Genomic DNA, 19,589 nt, shown 5'->3' on the forward strand with positions numbered 1-19,589 from the left:
ATGTGTTCACAAAATGCACTTCCCTTCCACCCTAGGTTCAAGGTGAACTCCGATCCCAGCCTCTCCTGTCAGGCTCAGCAATGGAAATGAGCAGAGGGGCCCTTTGTTCCATGCAGGCTGAATCCAGAACCTTCTGAGGACTTGAAGCCCTTTTATGCGGACAGGATGGGAAGTTAAGCGAAAGTTAACTTCTGTTGGATTAAGACCCTGAAGATTGGGCTTTAACACCTGTTGTGTTACCTGCACTCAAACAAACCAGGGCTCCTTACTCAGCCCTCAGGAGCCTTGGCATTCTCACCTCTAAAGCAGGAGGAGTCGTGATAACTGCCTTGAGGAATTTGAGCAAAGTTAAATGACCTGAACTATTTGGGCGTGTCTTGACCAATGTCCGACCTTGGGAGGTGCTGGATGAATTTTTATTTCTCTACTTTAAGTCAGCCTTTCTACCTTGTTGCTCTTCTCAGCTGCCTTTCTCTGAGCCTCCTTCATCACTCTGTTCATTTCTGTGAGACAAAGATCATTACAACTGCCTTAATATTTCGGTGCAAGACGCACCGTGACCTGACATTGCTCTACCCCGCCTCCTGCCACGATCATTCTTTTGTAGCAATATTCCGCCAGCTTCATTTTGTGCAGTGAGTGGAACAAGAGTCAGAACACCAGGGCGGCTGAGCCTGTCGATCAAGCCTCCACCTAACAACAGACATGCCTGAGTCCCACAGTCATAATTAGGATGAAGCTTTTCCCTGGCTGGACCCGGACTGCAGTCACACTGTAAGAGCTCATCATTCTAGGCCTCTGCCAGTGCGTGTTCAGTCAGAGGCAAGCAGTGGCCCCGGCTCCCAGAAGCATGGGGAGGACTCCTACCAGGGACGGTGGCCAGAATGGCTGCACACAGCCTTTGCTTCCAAGAAAAAGCATCTCCGCAGGCCCAGGCACCTCTGGCAGCCCTCAGAGCAGGACCCTCTTCAACAAGGTGATAGCAGAAGGGAAGAAACGCAGAGGTCTGTCTCAGAGATTAGAGCAACACAGAAACTGGATGCCCCCTTTCAGGGGAGAAACACGGGGTTTCACATCAGGAACCTGTTGAGGAACTTCCCGTCAGGCCCAGCAACACACCCAGGACCAAACCCCAACAGTGATGACTAAAAAATGTGTGTGGGGGCTGGGCACAGTGGTTCCTGCCTGTCAATCCAGCACTTTGGGAGGCCAAGGAGTGAGGCTCACTTTAGCTCAGGAGTTGGAGACTGGCCTAGGCAGCATAGTGAGGACCTATTTCTACAAAATAGTAATAATAATAATAATAATGGTAATAATAATAATAAAGCTGCATGGCCCCCAAAGGGTCGTGTCCAGCTCTGGATAAACTTGTCTGGTTAGTTCAGGTTTCATGGCGCGGCATAGAGGACCCCGACCGTTCATCACTCATTGCTGTGTCCCCAGTTGGCTGTGGCCTGAAACTGCCTGGTTTCAGTCAACACTGTTGCCGTCTTGCATCAGCCATTCAGGGGGTGGGTACCCATGGGAGGGCCTCAGCCAGGACAAAGGTCCACTTCTGTCTAATCGTGTAACTTTAAAATAAAGCTTTTGTGCAGGGACAGAGTAAACAAACTTTAAATGTGAATTTGCATCAATTGAACATTTACAAGTGTGACACTTTTACCTGGTGGCCCACTGGGACCAGGACGAAGCAGCTGGAGGGGCCCCAATGTGTGACTGAGAGAGGAATGTGTGGGCAGCCGTAGCGAGGCTGAGAGGTGAGCAGGCTGGGAAAACCCAGCGAGATGAGCGTGGCTGGAGACCGGCGGAACAGGCAGGCTGTGCAGGGCTTGCATGGGCGAGTGAGGCGCCCGTGCTGGCCAGAACATCATGGCTCTGTGCTGAGGGAACCACGGTGAGCGACGCCCAGAGACCCAGTCTTGGATCAGGAGCTGTAGTGGATACAGTTGAGGGAGTTTTGTGTAGTGCCTCACTGTTCTGATAAGAAGAAAACATGTACAAGCTACGAACTGCAAATTGAGAAATTTTGGTGATTTTGCAAATGAGATAAATGGTCCTATATTTGCATTTGAAATTGGCATTGCACAAAATAAGTTGACTAATAATTTTTAATTTTCCTTCTTAGAATGACAATGTGGCAAATAAAGGAACCCAATGAAAAGAAGGGAAAGAGACTGCAGAGGGAAGGAAAAAGCTTTATATTTTACTACCATAATGGCACTTTTTAAAAAATTTTTATTTATTTATTTATTTTTGAGACAGAGTCTTGCTCTGTCGCCCAGGCTAGAGTGCAGTGGCACAATCTCGGCTCACTGCCAGCTCCGCCTCCTGGGTTCACACCATTCTCCTGCCTCAGCCTTCCCAGTAGCTGGGACTACAGGCGCCCACCACCACGCCTGGCTTTTTTTTGTGTGTGTGTGTGTTTTTAGTAGAGACAGGGTTTCACCGTGTTGGCCAGGATGGTCTCTATCTCCTGACCTCGTGATCCACCTGCCTCGGTCTCCCAAAGTGCTGGGATTACAGGCGTGAGCCACTGGGCCCGGCCAATAATGGCACTTTTTCCTGCTTTTTGTACAGGGGGTCCTGCATTTGTGTTTTGTCCTGGGCCCCTAAATTCTGCAGCTGGCCCTGGTAGAAAGCTGAGAAGTCAGAACAAAGGACTGCCCAGAGGCTGCACGGGGTGGGGGTGGGGGTGGGGGGGGGGCGTTCACATGGTCCGGAGTCCCCACCCCACCGCGTTTATATCTGGCACACTCTGGAGGACCCATCCATCTGTGTTCATGTCTGGCTGTGGCATCTATTGACCATGGGCTCTCAAAGTCACCTAATCATTTTGCATCTCTCTTTTTTCATGTCTAAGACAGGGATAATGATGGCACATACCTGTTAATGGCTGTTGTGAAGCTCTGTGTTAAGTTCTTAAGACAGAACTTGTCACAAGTCAGCCAGGCGTCATAATCACCGATGCCATCTCTTAACAAACTGGCCTTAACTATGAGCAGAGGGTGCAATGCGGAGGGCTGTGGGGTGCCCAGAGGTGAACAAGATGAGTGCTGTTGTCAGGGAGCTTTCAGTGGGATGAGGGAGCAGGGCCCCATCACGAAGGACATGGGGGGTTAGGGGAAAGGGGAGCCTTCCGGTGTGGGGGACATGGACAGACCTTCGGAGGAGAAAGGGTTGTGGGTTGAGTTGCATCCCCCGGAAAGGTATGTTGAAGCCCTAACCTGGTGCCTGTGAACGAGCCCTCACTTGCAGAACTGATCAAGTTGAGCTGGGGTCAACTAGAGCAGGGTGAGCCTCGAGTTCCATGTGACCAATGTCCTCATGGGAGGAGAGGGGAGCACGGGGAGAAGGTGACCACTTGAGGACGAAGGCAGAGGTTGGGGTGACGCGTCTACAAACGAGGGTTTCCCCGAACACCAGAGCTAAGAGCAAGGCATTGGCGCCCTCCCGCTGTGGAGTCTGCAGAGGGAGCCTGGCCCGGCTGACACCGTGGGTGCAGACTCCCGGCCTCCAGGCTGGGGGACAAGAAGTTCCTGTTGTGGCGACCTCAAGAAACTAACACAAAGGGGCATTTGAATTCAGTTGTCCAGGAAGATACAGGTGTTGCAGGGATGGGCTGCCACGTGGGCGGAGGCCTGGATGGGAAGGATTGTGCCAGGCATGGGTTCCCGCAGTGTGTTCCCCTGGCTGGCAGCGTCGCGGCACCTGGGAGTCATTAGGCAGCAAGGGAGGGAATTGCGATTCTGGGCGGGGCTCAGCTGTGCAGATTTTAGCAAGGTCTCCAGGTGCTTCTGCTGAGGGCCAGAGTTAAGACAGAGCTTAAGACAGAGAACCTCAACAGGAGGCCTGAAGGAAAGCACCTGGGAGTCATTAGGCAGCAAGGGAGGGAATTGCAATTCTGGGCGGGGCTCAGCTGTGCAGAGTTTAGCAAGGTCTCCAGGTGCTTCTGCTGAGGGCCAGAGTTAAGAAAGAGCGAGAACCTCATCAGGAGGACTGAAGGAAAGGAGCCAGGCTGCAGCCCTCTGCCTGCCCTTCCGTGCCATCATCTCCAGGATTAATGAAAGGGCCATTCAGGAAACAGCACAGGTGAGATGTGGGATGGGCTCCGTGGCTGCCTCTGTTTCCTGCCTTCTGTCTGTAAACTTCTGATTCAAGGAGGTGGCGTGGCCTCTCAGGGCAGTTGTATTTTTGGTTTACAGGCTCGTCAGCCCCCACTTATCTATCATAAGTGGGACACACATATGGGAGGAAAAGTTTCCTTTTCCTTCTACCCATCCTAGGTTCTCTGGCTGAGGTCCTATAAATTAGAATGGCAAAAGACAGGTTGACAAAATAGAAACAAACAAGGTTATTAACATGCTCATCATGCACACACATGGGAGCACTCAGCCATGAGTCACTCCAAGGGTTTATTAGAACTTGGGCTGATAGAGCTTCTAAACAAAATAATGACAAATTTTAGAGGAGTGACAAGACAAAGGAAAAGACCTTTGGGCTTCTAGGGCAGCAAACTGCAGCCAGCTAAACACATGGGAAATGAATGGAGGATAAGGGCTAGTTCCTAGTAGTCAAGTTTGCTGAGTAGATTCCTCCAGTGCTGTCTCCAGGCTGATAAGGCCTAGACTTGCCCCAGTGATTGGCTTCTGTCCTTCCTGGTAGAGACAGGAGTGGGGACACCTTCACTAAATTATGTCCTGCTTTTAGGCAAAGAGGGGCAGGAGAGAGAGCTTCACTTATATCTACATCTTAAAAATTGTCTTCAGCTCAAAATGATCCTTATGCCAAAGTGGTGTCTTTGGGGGTGGCTGACTCTGCTGCTCTTTACTTACCTTGAACTCCCACCATCATGGCTGCCTCAGAATCCCACAGGGCATCGAGAATGTTCTATGCAAATGGAGAGGCCAGGAGCAGTGGCAGACGTGCAGGTGGCACAAATCTCTGCTCTCAGGCCTGCTCCCGGTCCCAGTGACGTTTAGAGCACACGTCCAAAGATATGATGAAGAATTTCCAGGTGGTGACAGCTGAGCATTAGGCCTAGCAAGGGGCCTGTTGACGAAGAGCCAAACTCTGTAAAATATTTGAAGAGATTTATTCTGAGCTGAGTATGAGTGACCATGGCCTGTGACACAACCCTCAGGAGGTCCTGAGAACATGTGCCCAAGGTGGTGGGGAGCAGCTTGGATTTATACATCTTAGGGAGACATGAGACTTCAATCAAATACATTTAAGAAGTACATTGGTTTGGTCCAGTAAGGTGGGACAACTTGAAGTGCTGGTGGGAGGTTTGGGGGACCTATTGCTATTAATAGCTTATAGGTAGATTTGAAAATGTTCTGGTTGACAATCAGTTGAGTTTATCTAAAGACTTGGAGCAAATAGAAAGAAATTAAGATAAGTTAAGATAACAGGTTGTGGAGACCAAAGTTCTTATTTACAGAGGAAGCCTTCAGGTAGCAGGCTTCAGAGGGAACAGATCACAGATGTTTCTTATCAGAGGTAAGGTCTGTGTTGATGTTAGTGCTGTAGGATATAATGAGGTCTGTCCGGCCCCCACTTCCCGTCGTGGCCTGAACCAGACTCTCAGGTTAAAATTTAAGAGTGCCCTGGCAGAGGAGGAGGTTCATTCAGATGGTTGGGGGGCCATAGAATTGTATTTTTGGTTTACAGGCTCGCCTGCCTGTGGGCCCCTTTGTGACTGCCCAGGCAAGCCGCTAACGTGAACGTGCTCCTCTTACTGCCGCCTTCTAACCCAGGTGACATCAATCACTTACTCTCTTTCTGCTCTTTGCTCTGGTCCCAGGGAAGCAGGTCCTTTTACTCCTTTCCTTCCCGGGCTTGTGCACGCTGGGTCAGGCCCCATCTCACCATGACTGCTCATCTTTTTGGGCACCAGAGCAATAAGGAAGCAGGACTCAGGCCCCCAACTCCTAACTCCAGGTGAAGCCCACCCTGAGCTCAGGAACAGAGCTGCCTCCATCGGGTGTGGAGAGACAGAGCCTCCTCCCCAGCCATGCCTCCTCATTGGCCCATGGGAGCTGCTGTGACTCTGACCCTGTACCTGGCTCTGTCAACTGGAATAGTCAGTGGGCAGCCAGCACACCTTTGGGTGCCATATGTGGTGAGATCCTATCCTGACTTGACATTTTAAAAAGTTGTCTATAAAAAGAGCCAAACTCTGTAAAATATTGGAGAGATTTATTCTGAGCCAAACGTGAGTGACCATGGCCCGTGACACAGTCCTCAGGAGACCCGGAGAACGTGTGGCCCAGGTGATCAGGGCACAGCTAGGTTTTATACATGCTATAGGGCATAAGGCATCAATCAATACATTTAAGCTGTACATCAGTTCAGACGGGAAAGGTGGCACACCAGGAAGCAGGGGCTTCCAGATCACAGGCAGATTCACAGATTTTCTGATTGGCAGTTGGTTGAAAGAGTTCATCTAAAGACCTGGAACCAATAGAAAGGAAATATCTGGGTTAGGATAAGGGGTTGTGGAGACCAAGGTCCTTACTATGCTGATGCAGCCTCCAGGTAGCAGGCTTAGAGAGAATCGATGGTAAATGTTTATCAGACTTAAAATGTGCCAGAAACTTAGTGGAGTATTTCCTGGATGAGGAAAAAGGCCTGGAAAGGGAACAGGATTTTCTACAGAATATAGACTTTCCCCACAAGAGACAGCTTTGCAGGGACATTTCAAGATATGGCCAAGAAACATATTTAGGGTTAAAATATTTGGATTTTCTTCCTTATCTGTCATGTGAAGTTACGCCAGAGTAAGGTTGGAAAGAGCCGAGTTACACAGGGTTAGTAAGACCCCTCCAATGAGGCTTTGTGGTTTGTAGGGTGACCTCCCCAGGCCCCTTAGGTAGGAATTTGGGCAGGAGAAGAAAAAGGTCAGAGTTTAGTCCTCAAGGCACAGACTTATGTTCTTGACCCTCCTTCCATCTGGTGGTACATTCAGGCTAATGGAAAAATCCTACGTATTCCACGTTCGGTCCGTCCTCCCTCCTCCTGCCTAAAGGGTTCTAGATGTGTGTAGTGATACAGCTGGGATGGTTATTTCTTCAGGAAGCGTCATCCTGTTCTTCTTCTTCCTGTTTATCCTCCTCTTCCTGCCCAAATTTCTGCTTCTCACACTGGAGTCCTTTTGTGTTTCATTCATACATTAACTCAAGGCCTGGATCCAGAAGGCTGATTCCTGTTAGTGCCTGCAGTTGATGTTTTCTCTATGACACTCTTAGCTGACTGGCGGCTGTCTAGATGAGGGTTCAAATCCAGACTCCATCACTCACCTGCTACGTGACATGGGCACCTTCTTTAGTCTTGTTGAGCTTTGTTTCCTCATCCTTAAAAACAATACCAATGACAACAACAAAACTACCATGCAGAGCTTCCATGCCCTGCACAGAGACTAGCGAGTAATGAAGTAATAATACAGAGTCAGCCCCCATTCCCTATGCAGTCGACTTCTGCAAGGTCCAAGCTCACAGTGCAAATTGCTCCTGCAAAGCTACTTTGATTAGGCTCATTCCTTGACCTTCTTCCAGACAAATACGTCTCAGACAGGGAGAAAAAATAAGTCCTTCATACATCAACTGGTGTTACCAGACGTGGCACTGAGTCCCAGAGTGTGGTTCTAAGATGGACTGAGTTCTGCTTTTCCAATGGCAGCAACACCACGTGGAAGTGTTGAGGGGGCCTCCTTCCATAGGAGCTGACCGTGGCATCTGTGTTTTCAGGTGTCTGGGCAGTTGCATGCAGGAGACTTGGGCTGGTGTGTCACTCTTCTCACTTCACACTGAGCTGCCTGGTTGCCTGCGAAACTCTGCAGGGTCTTTGGGTTCCTGTTGGACCAGTTCAGCCTGTCATTCTGCCACGTCCTCCTCTGGCAGGATGGCCGCTGGCCCACACAGCACCAGTCCCAACAGTGAGGCAGGTGGCTTCCTCAGTGGCGTTTGGCAACGTGGCTTTCTATCTGTTGGAATACAGGTCAGTCCTCTTCACACCCTTCCGTTTCCCTAATGATTCCCCAGGTTGTCCTGAGAATGCAAATCAGTTTCCAGGAGCTGGCACTCTCCACATTTGGGCTTTCATGATACCTGGTGGTCAGCTCACCCACCCCCAAGGGCAGTCAGCGGGGGGATCTTCCAGGAACTCTTGGTCATGAGAGTGGTAACTTCCTGATGTGCCTGCACAGACACAGTGCGTGTGTTCATTGGCAGCATCCTCACACCTGTGCAGCATCAGGCAGGCCTGGCTCTGCATGAGGCACATGTCCCAGCAGGCTGGCTGGACCAGCAGGTTCTGCCCAGTCAGACTTCCCCACCACACCAAGCACAGACAGGATGCTGGGTCCACACCCTGCTTTCATCTGTGTCCAGCTCAGATGCAACCTTGTGCTCCTCACGGGTTGTATGCTCGAGTATCCAAGAAGTGAGTCTTTTGATTGGACCTGAGCTAATCTCTCTCAGATTGGTGAAAGTGCAATGAGAATGGATGCTGTGTATTGCTGTTAACTCTGGTTATCCTGCAGTGGCACAGAACACTGGGCTCCTTCCTCCCGCCTAGCTGTGATTTTGTGTCCATCACACATCTCTCCCTACCCCTCCCCTCTCCCTACCATTTCCAGCCTCTAGTATCCTCCATTCTACTTTTTAACTCTATGAGATCATTTTTTTCTTTTCTTTTCTTTTTTTTTTTTTAGCTCACACATATGAGTGAGAACGTGTGGTGTTGAACTTTCTGTTCCTGACTTACATCACTTAATATCTTGTCCCCAGTTCCATTCATGTGGCCACAATGACAGGGTTTTATTCCTTTTTATGGCTGAATAGTATTCCGTTGTGTATATATACTGCATTCTTCATCCATTCATCTGGTGGTGGACACCTCTGTTGGTTCCATATCTTGGCTATTGTGACAGTATTGGGATGAATGTGGGGCAGATGTCTCTTTGATATACTGACTTCCTTCCCTCTGGATGAACACCCAGGAGTGGGTTAGCTGGCTCATATCGTGATTCTATTTGTGGTTTTTTTGAGGAATCTCCATACTATTTTTTATAGTAGCTGTAGCAGTTTACATTCCTACCAATAGTTTTATGAATTTCTAAACCTTGTACAATAGTATTATTCTTCCCACTTTAGGGGCAAGAGATGTGAGACCCCGGCAGTTTAGGTGACCTGCTCGAGGACACACACTGTGCACAGTGGCTGAGCCTACTCCTGCCACATCCAGGAGACTTCAGAGTCCCGGGATCCCAGCTGTGCTGTGCTCCTCCTTCAGCTGTGGGATCCAAGGCATGGTTTATTCCAGGACTCTTCCATGTTTGGGAAATTTTCACAGGACACTACTGCTGTTGTTTGTCCTCCCTTTCTCAAGTCTAAGCAAAAAAAATGTATTTATGGGTAGCATTCTTTAGAATTTAGGAAACCCCGGGAGTCGTGGCCATCCCTGTCATCACACCTGGTTTCTGCTTTGACCTTTGGTACCAATAAACATGAGCAGCTGCCATCCTGTGCCCAGTCCCCGGGGTGTACCTGCAGCCCACGCTGGCTGTCTTTGCTGTTCTGTGCCCAGGTGAGATGCGCTGCAGGCAGCAGGGAGCCACACAGACAACGCCCACCCTCCTGGGACTTGGCAAGCCCAAGGCCATGCACAGGCCACCACAGACTCCCCTGATGTGGGCTCATCAGGGGAGCCAGTGGGCCGGGGGCACGTTACGGCCAGTCAGGTGCATTTGTCTCCAGTAGGATCACCCTCTGTGAAGGTAGCAGCTTGCACCTTGTTGACTGGTCACCAGTGACATGGAGTCTGGCCAAGGAGCCATCTTCACCCTGAGAACTGCGCCTGTGCCCCCAGTGCTCCTGCCTGGCTTCTGCTGTGTGCCTACAAAGCTGGGCTTTGTGCTGGCCCCTCTGCCTTCTGGCCTGTGACCTGCCTTGGCGACCTACCCTTAGCCGGTGGAGCCTTCCAGCTGGCCTCTGACCATGGGGCTCTCCAGGCCCTGAGTCACTGCTGGCCTGACCAATTCAGGTGTCCTGGCTTTTGCTGCAGGGCTTCTGTCCTGGGTCTCCTGATTGTCCAGTTCTGGGCTCCCCCTCCACAAAAGAACGGCCCCTCCTGCAAAAGCTCTGGTCAGGGCAAATCCAAGGGCAGAAGAGGCAGATTGCAGGTCAGGCAGAGAGTGGACGGGCAGCTGCTGGGCCACTGTCTCCACCGTTCTCTGGCTATCTCTGTCTCTCTCTCTCTGACTTTCTCTCTCTCTGTCTCCCTCTGTCTCTCTATCTCTCTGTCTCTTTCTCTTTCTGTCTCTCTCTGTCTCTGTGTCTCTGGCTATCTGTCTCTGTCTCTATAACTCTTTCTGTCTCTCTGGCTATCTCTGTCTCTCTGCCTCTTTGTATCTTTCTGTCTCTCTCTGTCTCTGTGTCTCTGTCTCCCTATCTCTATGTCTCTGTTCTTCTCCCTCTGTCTCTGTCCCTCTCTGTCTCCTTCTGTCTGTCTCTTGGTCCCAGCTGGCAGCTGACTTTCCTGTCCTCCCAGGCCCTGGCAGAGCCACCAGGCGGGCTCCTGTCCTGTGCTGTCCTGGACCCCTCACCCTTGTTGCTGCTCTGGGTCAGAGCGCTTTCTTCTTGAAGCATCCTCTACCCACCCCAGGGACTTGAAAACCGGATTTGAAATGCCAAATAGGTTTAAAATTAGAGCTACAGAATGTCTTCCTCAGAGCCCAGACTTCCCGAGGGGTCCTGTCAGGCACAGACAGGGCTACCACAAAGGAAAAAGGGACACATTACATTACATTACATGAACCTCAGTCACTTGTTTTCACTGACATATACCTGAGTGAGGGCGGGAAGCAAGCCCAGGGTTGGGGAAGGTTTGACAACATGGTGTCTAGAATTTATGCCAATTGCAGTCAGTAGCCGAAGAGGACAGTGCCACAGAGAAGCAGCCAAAGGCCAACTCGGGTGTCCCCAGGGCCCGTGAGGCCAGCGCACGTGAGACTGGTTCATCAGTTACCATCAAAGCTGCACGGTGGGTGCATGAGGCTGCAGCACCACAACTCCATGGCCAAAATGGCGCTGCTGGGATCATGAGGACCCACGGCCTGCCCTCACCTGACAATCAGGAAGAATTTAGACTTTGTCAGTCTCAAAGAAGAAAATGATTATAAAATCCATACAGTGTTCCAGGGTTATCTGACAAGCAAGAACACCAGTAACTTAGTTCATTAGATGCCTTCCAGCGACAGGATGCTACTTAGACAAGTTCCCCTGAAACTCAGGGCTGCAAGTCTCTAGATTGATTATCTGCAAATGCAGCCATCTGCTTCCTGCTGTGACACTTCATTCCTCCGCCCTGGCTGCACTGCAGACAGACGCTGGGGAGACCTCGCCTTCTCAGGGTGGCACTGTGTGGAAGCCAGGGCTCACCCGGCTCTGTTCCCACAGGGTGGGAGTTTTTCATTTTAACAGTTACAGAATCATCTACACGGATGTCACCCTGACAGTTGTAATGTCCAGGAAAAGTTGTCATCCATGTGATTAGCACAGCTTGCCGTGTGTTCTGTTTTGATTTGGGTTTTGATTTTTAATTAACTTTGACGAAAATCTTTTAATAAAAATCTTTGCTTCGAATTTTGAAAAGGTACACAGCAACCTGCAACACACAGGCAGATGATCAATTAAAAGAAGTTAAAAATAGTCCTTTTCCTGCAGAGTGGTACAAATTCACTAGTTAAGACATACTTATTAGATGTGTTAAAAAGAATGTGTTTCAGTGGAAATCTATGGCACATACTTTTAGGCTGTTCGTTGTCTTTGAACTATTTTACAACTCTTTGAGAATTGCAGGTAACTGACGGAGATATATATAGAGAGAGATAGATAGAGAGAAAGAGAGAGGGACATTCTGTCCTGTCTAGTAGTGATTTTTACTGGCTTCTTCACCCTGTAAAAAAACAGCTTTCTCTCCATTTGCAATTCATTTCAAAATTCCTTTACACCATATAAATGTTTTCACTTTTCCTTTGAACAGGTTCTAACATCTGCCTAGTTCCCTCCTATCGTATGTGTAAAATAAAATCTTTAACACTTCTGCATTTTAATATCTTGGTGCAAGTCATGATTTTACCTTTTTCTGAAAATTATCTTTCAGATAGTATATAGATATAAAGTAAAGAACATGCTGTACTGTTTAGATTTTTAACCCATTGCTTATATTTTATTCCATGTGAGTGAGAATGGGCTTCCGGGAATCAGAAAACATATTCTTTCCTTGTTTCAGTCGAGTATAACCATAGATGAAGTGTGTAATACTCATGGAATTTTCCACAGAAAAATGTGCGTATATTTTGCATCAAACAGAGCACAGCAACAGAAAAATCAAAGGACAAAGCTTTTAGTTTGCACATAGTAGAGAATGAAAAAGATGCCAGACCCTTATCCTTGGAGAATAAAAGAAGTTGGCATGCATAAAAGAGAGTAGGACTGCCTGACATATGACACTCAGTTGAATTTAGTTTGAATTTCAGTGGAGTCCTGCTGAGAAAATAAGACTACATGAATTACCTAGAAAACATTACCAGGCAATCCACCATTCACTGTGAGATTGTGTAATAAGCGATGTTCTTAAGGAAGTCCATGAGCACAAGAAGATGCTTGCTTTGGGAGAATTCCAGTGCCTTTACTTCCTCTTTAGTTCCTATCACTGGCCTTTTATTGATAAGTATTAGTTTGAGATTTCAAAACCCAATCTCATGTTTCAAGGTACAGATGTAACTGTACATTTGATACTCAAAAGCCGAGGATGAGGTCTCAGGATCAGCAAAACTGGCCACCTGCCTTGAGAGTGGCTCCTACCCCCTGCAGGCTCCCCGTGAGCTCAGATGGTGCCTTCAAATCCTTTGTAGAGGCTGGGGGAGGGGAAGGAGGAGCACATTTGTTAATGAGGGGGAAAATGCTGTGTGCTTTCAAGGGAAAATGCTAAATTCATTTCAATAACATATGAATTACTTGCTGTTAAGGAATAGGCACCCTTCATCTCAATAGAACCCTGTCTTTCAAAGCCTTCACTTCCGTATCCTTGAGGTTTCTCTTCAAAGAGGGCTGAGCACATTCACCCAGGCACTAGGAGGCCCTGTGCATTTTTTGTCCTGCTGTTTCCATGGATAATTTAAAAAGAATTATGAATATCTCAGTCCTTAGAGAGTCAGACAGAGAGCCCCGAGGCCGCTCAGTCTAGGTCAGCTGGAGTGGCTCCCTTTGTGGGTCCCTTTGCTGGCTGGAACCTGGCCAGAGCTCGCAGGGGACAGCACTCTGTCTTATCATAAGTTCCTCAAATGATTGTTGTATAGACCAATGCATAACCTGCTGACACTGGAATGAAACTAGGGAAAAAATTGTATGCTTCACTGTTAAGGAAATACAGCAGTATTGAGTTAGGTAACCGGTTGGATCAAGGTTGATACTGAAAACGCCCATCAGCAGGCAGGCCCTTAACTTGAACTTACTGTGTCAGTAAGAAAAAGGAGTACAAATTTATCTCTATCACAGCATTTAGAATCATCTTCAACAGGAAACCCAAGCCATACTTCTTTCCCTTAGCAAAACAAACAAGCAAATCAACCTATTTTTCAGAGGTTCCTTCTGAAGTTGAAATTATCATGATTGCCCAGAAGGATGTCCCACCAAGAGGAGCCTCAGGCGGTAATCCCACCAAAAGGAGCCCCAGGAGGTCATCCCACTGACAGGAGTCCCAGGAGGCCATCCCACTGAGAGGAGCCTCGGTAGGTCATCCCACTGAGAGGAGCCCTAGAAGATCATCCCACTGAAAGGAGCCCCAGGGGGACAGCCCACCAAGAGAAGCCTAAGGAGGTCATCCCACGGAGAGGAGCCCCAGGAGGAGGATGCCCACCAAGGGGAGACTCAGGCCAATCATTAGCCATTCCTCTTACTCCCAAGCTGCCTGTTTATTCTGAGACCAGAGGGTCATACATGCCCTCCCTGGCCAGGAGTGAGAATGGATTGGAGTTGAGGATGAGATGAGTTGAGCTGAATACTTCTTGTAGCTAAAAGGCAGCCAGGAGGCCTAGCAACAGAGCAGGATTCTAACACTCACTCCCTGGCCTGCAGGGCCCCTTGGGAAAGTGAGTTTTAGATGCACGTGGGGAGGAGAGAGTATGTGCAGGAGCCAGCAACTCCACAAAACGCCCATAAATTGTGTATCTTTTTACAACGTAGCCTGTGTGTGGTGAGGGGAGATTCAGGCTCCATGACTAAGCTCTGGGTGGATTAGGGGCTGTCAAAAAGGTGAGAGGGGCTTTTGGCCTCATGGAGTTGGGACTCTTCATTTGCTAGGTGCTGATGTCCACAAGTCAAGCCAAGCAGTGGGCTGTTCAGAAGCTGGCCCAGCCCGGCCAGCCAGCAGCAGTGCCCACATCTGCAGGTGGAGCTTGGCCTGTGTAGCTGACTCTCAGGCTCACCCCTTGACTTTCCTTTCAGAGGAGATAAGGATTCTGGTTTCTCAATTAAAGAAAGGGAATAAACAACTCCAAGTCATGGTGACATGTAGATGACGACCTCTACTTATTTCCTGGGAAAGTAGACTGAGACTTTATGGTCTTTCCTTAAGATTCATATGGAAATACATGTGTGTTGTGAGAGATAAAAAACAAACAGACCAGCAGACTAATTTTTATTGTACCAGGGAGAGCCGCTATGCTAGAATCAGTCTTTGCAGGGTGGCTTATCGTAGACTTTCCTGGGACGGTAGACAAGTTTCAGACAGGGTGATGTAGAGCTGGGGGATGCCTCAGTCCATCAGCTGACCAGGAAACATTTTCAATGTGTCTGTATCATTCCAGGGGGTCTAGAGGTTCTACTCTCAGCTAGTCAACCATGAGAGAGAGTGGAGGCCTGCAGGGTGTGGGTCTGGCCTTGTCACAGGTAAACAAGAGGTCATCACACACCTGATGGGGTCAAGAGAAAGTGTGCATAGGGGGCCCCACCAAGGTCTGTGGGGGAGGGGGATTTTTTGTGCTGATTCTTTCCTGGAACAGAAAAAGGTGGGGGGAGATTTGGGAAAATAAGAAATTGGAGGGATTTTATGACTATTATTGTTTTCTTGGAGCATGGGTTCAGGTTCACTTGAAAATGTTGACAAGTTCATTGTCAGTAAAAAACAACAGATTTTGTAGCAAATGTTCAAGAAATGGTGGGTTGATTATAGACTTTCTTGTGTCCCAAATATCAGGTGAAATGTGGATTCTATATGTTGATGAAAAAACCTAAACTTTGTAAAGTATTAGAAAAGATTTATTTTGAGCCAAATGTGAAGACCATGATCCAGGACACAGATCCTGAGAACATGTGCCCAAGGTGGTTGGGCTACTGCTTGGTTTCATATGTTCTAGGGAGACAGAAGACATCAGTCAATGCATGTAATGTGTGCATTGGTTCAGTCCTGAAAGGCGAGACGACTTGAAGCAGGGGCTTCCGGGTCAGAGGTGAATTCAAAGATTTTCTGATTGGTAATCGGTTGAAAAAGTTATTATCTAAAGATCTGGAATCCATAGAAAGGAGTGTCTAGGTTCAGGTAAGGGGTTGTGAAGACCAAGGTTTTATTATGTTGATGAAGTCTCATAGGTGGTACCCTTAGAGACAACAGATGGCAAATGTTTCCCATTCAGACATTTAAAAAATGCTAGACTCTGAGCTAATCACTTTGGGGTCCACAAAAGACCTGGAAAAAGAAGAGGATTCTTTAGAAAATGTAAATTTTCCCTGCAAGACACAGCTTTGCAGGGCCATTTCAAAATGTGTCAAACAAAGTTATTTTTGGGTAAAATATTTCGATTTCTTTCAAAGCCTGCTATCTGTCATGTGATGCTATAATAGAGTTAGGTTGGAATGTGGTGTCTTATTTCTACAAAGAGTCTGTTTTGTCATGCTTAAGATCTCTGTTTTCATGTGAAGTCTGGCCAGTTGTTCCTGAATTCCAAAGCAAGGAGGGTATAATGAGGCACATCGGACCTTGCCTTCCCATCGTGGCCTGAACTAGATTGTTAGGATTCTATGGAATCCCCTTGGCTGAAAAGAGGGGTCCATTCAGTCCGTTGCGGGTCTTACAATTTCATTTTGGTCTACAGTTATCTGAAAGTGGGAAGGGTAAGGTGGCAGGGAAAGAGGTGGGTGCAGGTACATCTGCAAAACTGATTTCTGCGCTTGTCCTACCTCTAAAACATGCTCACTCCCTCACTCCCCCGCGTTGCCTGCCAGCTAGAATGAGTTGCGGAACATGCCAAGTTTGAGATACACACACACACCTTAATTTTCATTCTTTCACAGTTGGTCTGATGAATAAGAGGTAACAGAGACCCTTCATCATGTTCAGAGAGAAATTATAACTACTCAATGGTTAAAAGAGTATAGTCACAAGAAAGAACATCCAAAAACCAGCATCAATAACAACTTACGATGTTAAAAAGACAGTAATTTGTAGATATTTCAAAGATAAATTGAGTCTTCGTGGTATGAGGGCATTTCAGCAAACGCTTTCATAGCATCAGGATCTCACAGCACATTAAATCCCATCTGGGAAGGTTCACACTCAGGGTCAGGCTTTCCCTCATTTTGGCAGAGCCTGTACGTTCTACTAAAACTCTACTAAAATCCAACAAATACTTGCTGAATGCAAACAAGTGCGAAACCCAGGGCAAAATGCTCTCTGGCTTCTGCTCACTTCTGGGCCTGGGGCAGCCCCACAGAACAAGCCTTGTTCCATCTTCAAAACACTAGGGATGGGGCAGATTTTACCAGAACCCCATGGGTACGGGAGCACTTACAGACCCTCTACTGCAGCATGGAATCTTTCTTCTTGTTTTTTAAACTTTATGTGACATTTTTCTTCATAGACCACAATGATAACAGTTGCGTGAGCTTCTAGAGACTGGCCCAGTGCATGACATGCAGTTGGTGTTAACTAATAGCTGATGAGCAGATAAATCAAGACACTCAGTTCCTACAAAATAAGAGACACAGTGTGAAGGCAGTGGGGTAAAGGGGTTTAAAAACAACTTCCGAACATCCGGGCTGGGGAGGGATGGGGGACAGAGGAGAGGAGGACTAGAAAGCGAAGGCCAGGCATGCCCATCCTCTCCGCTAAGCCCTGTTCATTAGGTTTATCCACACAGAGCTCACGTTGCCCACTTGAGTAGATACTGATCATGGCTTTCGGGCCACTGGAAATACACAGCTCAATATCATTCATTAACTGAACACACTGGGTAAGAAAAACACAGGATATTGGGGATTCCTTGGAAAAACAGAGTCTTGCCTGTAGTGCCCACACACAGCCCATTTTCCTGAGAAGGGCCCTGGTCCCGTGTCCGGGGTGCAGACCCACAGTCTGGGACTCTGAGGGCGGTCGCCACAGGTGGGTGCGTTGCCAAATCGTGGCTGCTTGAGAACATTGGGAGATCTTGCTACAGAGGTCCGTGGGTCCTTACCTTGGGAACGCCGGACACAGCGCACACAGCCCACCAACCCCAGACCCCTGGTGGTATCACGCTGTAAGCACAGAACTCCTACTCGCCTTGTAGTCCTCTCCATAATCCTCTCCAGTTCTCAAAACACATCATCAGCTTGATTTTCTCCTCGGCTGTGCCAGCATAAGCCAACCTGTTCCTTCCCACACCGTCTGGGCCTTCGGGCCCTGCCAGGTGGCACCACTGCAGAGGGGCAGGACTGAGTGGGACACATAGGTGTGTGGTTACCTGCCCGAGAGAGGGTGGCTGACCATCTGGGACACCATGCCCAGTCACACTCCCTGCCACACAGGCTGGCCCTGAGCCATGGCATTTAGGCCAAGGGGAGGGGCCCTGGCTGGCATTTGTCACACGTCTTCCCGTGTCTAAAGTGCAGAATTCGGGAAATACTTCTGAGGGCAGGATTGCCATGTAGCCAGCTGTCTGCCAGGGTTCATCCCAGGGCCCAATCCCACTGTGTGCTTCTTTACAGCTCATCATAAACAGGTCAGGACAAAAGGAGTTGCCAGCCAGGAGGGGAAGTGAGCTGGGGCCTAAATGATTGGTGATGAGCCGGGACTCACACTGCAGTGCCCACATGTGCCTCGATGGTGGCCTGACTCGCCCGTGGGGCTGGCGGGGATGAGAGTTGGCCTCTGTCGCAAGCACAGGGCTGGAGTCGTGGAAGCGGCTTCCCTGCAGCTGCTGCTGTCTCAGGTGACGGCATCTGGTACCTGAGCTGGCATTCAGTTTCTTTATAACCCACTGGGGTGGGGGTTCTGGAGGGCGGCCCTGGGCAGCAGCTCAACCAGGAGAATGGGCAGCCTGGAGGGTAGGTGGGGGGCTTAGCTTACCTTACAGAGTTCTTTCTACAACAATTCCTTTATAAAAGTGTAGTTTTCTTTAAAAATTGTATTCTTCTTAAATTAGATATTCTTCTTTAAAGTATAGAAGTAGTATATAGGTGCATGAAATAAAAAGAGTAAACATACCCCTTTCCTCCCACCAATTCTATGTCCAGTGAAGAGTTAGTTTTCTTTCTCTCTCTCTCTCTCTCTCTCTATATATATATATATATATACACACACACACACAATGAGCCTATAATACATTTTGTATATATGCATGTCTATATATACATGTCTCTATTTATATTCACATATGGCTATATGAATATATATACATATCTTATATTCACATATGTATATATGGACATGCATATATACAAAATGTGTATATGCATTTTTAGTCAAAACTTAAGCAATAACCTTCAATGCTTGTCTTTATAAGATGTTCTCCCTTCATCATATCGAGTACCTTTCCAGTCTGTCTGTCTATAGCTTTCCAGCAAACCCTTTCCAAAGACAGTGGAGAAGTTTCCAGCAGGAGCAGCTGCTGAGAGACCCACACTGCACATACAGGCCTTACCGCCCGCTGAGCGGGAAGAAGCGGCACAGTGGCTTCTCAAGGGACCACTGAAAAGAGGCGGTCATTGCATCGTAGCTGGAAACAAACGGGGAAAATGCCTCAGTCTCACCTGCTGACACTCGCTGAGATTTTAGAAGCCACGCGCTGCAATAGCGGCTGGAGCGAAGGGACTGCAAATAGGTCACGTCACCCAGGATGGCATTATCTCGCTTGGGGACAAAGTTCAAATTGTATGGATGTTTGTGGTTGTGAGAGCAAAGGCACGAAATTATCTTTGGAGATTTTTGGGCGTAATTTCCCATCACTGTATCTTTGTCTGTATAGACAAAAATAATTGATAGAAAAAATACCTAGAAAATTCAAGCATCAGCCGGGTGCTGTGGCTCAAGTCTTTAATCCCAGCACTTTGGGAGGCCGAGGCGGGCGGATTGCCTGAGCTCAAGAGTTCGTGACCAGCCTGGGCAACACGGTGAAACCCCGTCTCTACTGAAATACAAAAAATTAGCTGGGTGTGGTGGCGGGTGCCTGTAATCCCAGCTACTCGGGAGGCTGAGGCAGGAGAATTGCTTGAACCCGGGAGGCGGATGTTGCAGTGAGCCAAGATCGCGCCACTGCACTCCAGCCTGGGCGA

At 48.3% G+C, this 19,589-nt stretch overlaps 1 protein-coding gene across 6 annotated transcripts in view, besides 4 other annotated features; it reads left to right on the forward strand.

The window, feature by feature from the left end:
- Positions 281-1,480: an enhancer, noted in NCBI's record as "BRD4-independent group 4 enhancer chr6:167681138-167682337 (GRCh37/hg19 assembly coordinates)". NCBI's record gives its function as "activates an origin of replication core promoter dependent on BRD2, P300/CBP, MED14 and CDK7 cofactors, and independent of BRD4, by STARR-seq in HCT116 cells {active_cell/tissue: HCT116}" and the evidence as "EXISTENCE:reporter gene assay evidence [ECO:0000049][PMID:35650434]".
- Positions 1,663-19,589, forward strand: part of UNC93A (unc-93 homolog A) — a 46,983-nt gene continuing 29,056 nt past the window's right edge. For 2 of the 6 annotated variants that reach the window (XM_017010958.1, XM_011535908.3), the window contains exon 1: positions 1,663-1,757. The gene's annotated coding sequence lies outside the window, so the exon portion shown is untranslated. Of the gene's footprint in view, positions 1,758-3,806; positions 4,090-13,643; positions 13,793-17,930; positions 18,038-19,589 lie in introns of those variants that run through there. The other 4 variants (XM_011535905.3, XM_047418901.1, XM_011535906.3 and 1 more) reach the window with 3 other exon arrangements.
- Positions 12,548-13,061: an enhancer, noted in NCBI's record as "OCT4-NANOG-H3K27ac hESC enhancer chr6:167693405-167693918 (GRCh37/hg19 assembly coordinates)". NCBI's record gives its function as "activates a minimal SCP1, AML or CMV promoter by ChIP-STARR-seq in naive H9 embryonic stem cells {active_cell/tissue: H9 hESC(naive)}" and the evidence as "EXISTENCE:reporter gene assay evidence [ECO:0000049][PMID:30033119]".
- Positions 13,888-14,389: an enhancer, noted in NCBI's record as "H3K4me1 hESC enhancer chr6:167694745-167695246 (GRCh37/hg19 assembly coordinates)". NCBI's record gives its function as "activates a minimal SCP1, AML or CMV promoter by ChIP-STARR-seq in primed H9 embryonic stem cells {active_cell/tissue: H9 hESC(primed)}" and the evidence as "EXISTENCE:reporter gene assay evidence [ECO:0000049][PMID:30033119]".
- Positions 14,390-14,889: an enhancer, noted in NCBI's record as "H3K4me1 hESC enhancer chr6:167695247-167695746 (GRCh37/hg19 assembly coordinates)". NCBI's record gives its function as "activates a minimal SCP1, AML or CMV promoter by ChIP-STARR-seq in primed H9 embryonic stem cells {active_cell/tissue: H9 hESC(primed)}" and the evidence as "EXISTENCE:reporter gene assay evidence [ECO:0000049][PMID:30033119]".

Source organism: Homo sapiens, chromosome 6, assembly GCF_000001405.40.
Source record: "Homo sapiens chromosome 6, GRCh38.p14 Primary Assembly".
NCBI classification, from domain to species: domain Eukaryota; kingdom Metazoa; phylum Chordata; class Mammalia; order Primates; family Hominidae; genus Homo; species Homo sapiens.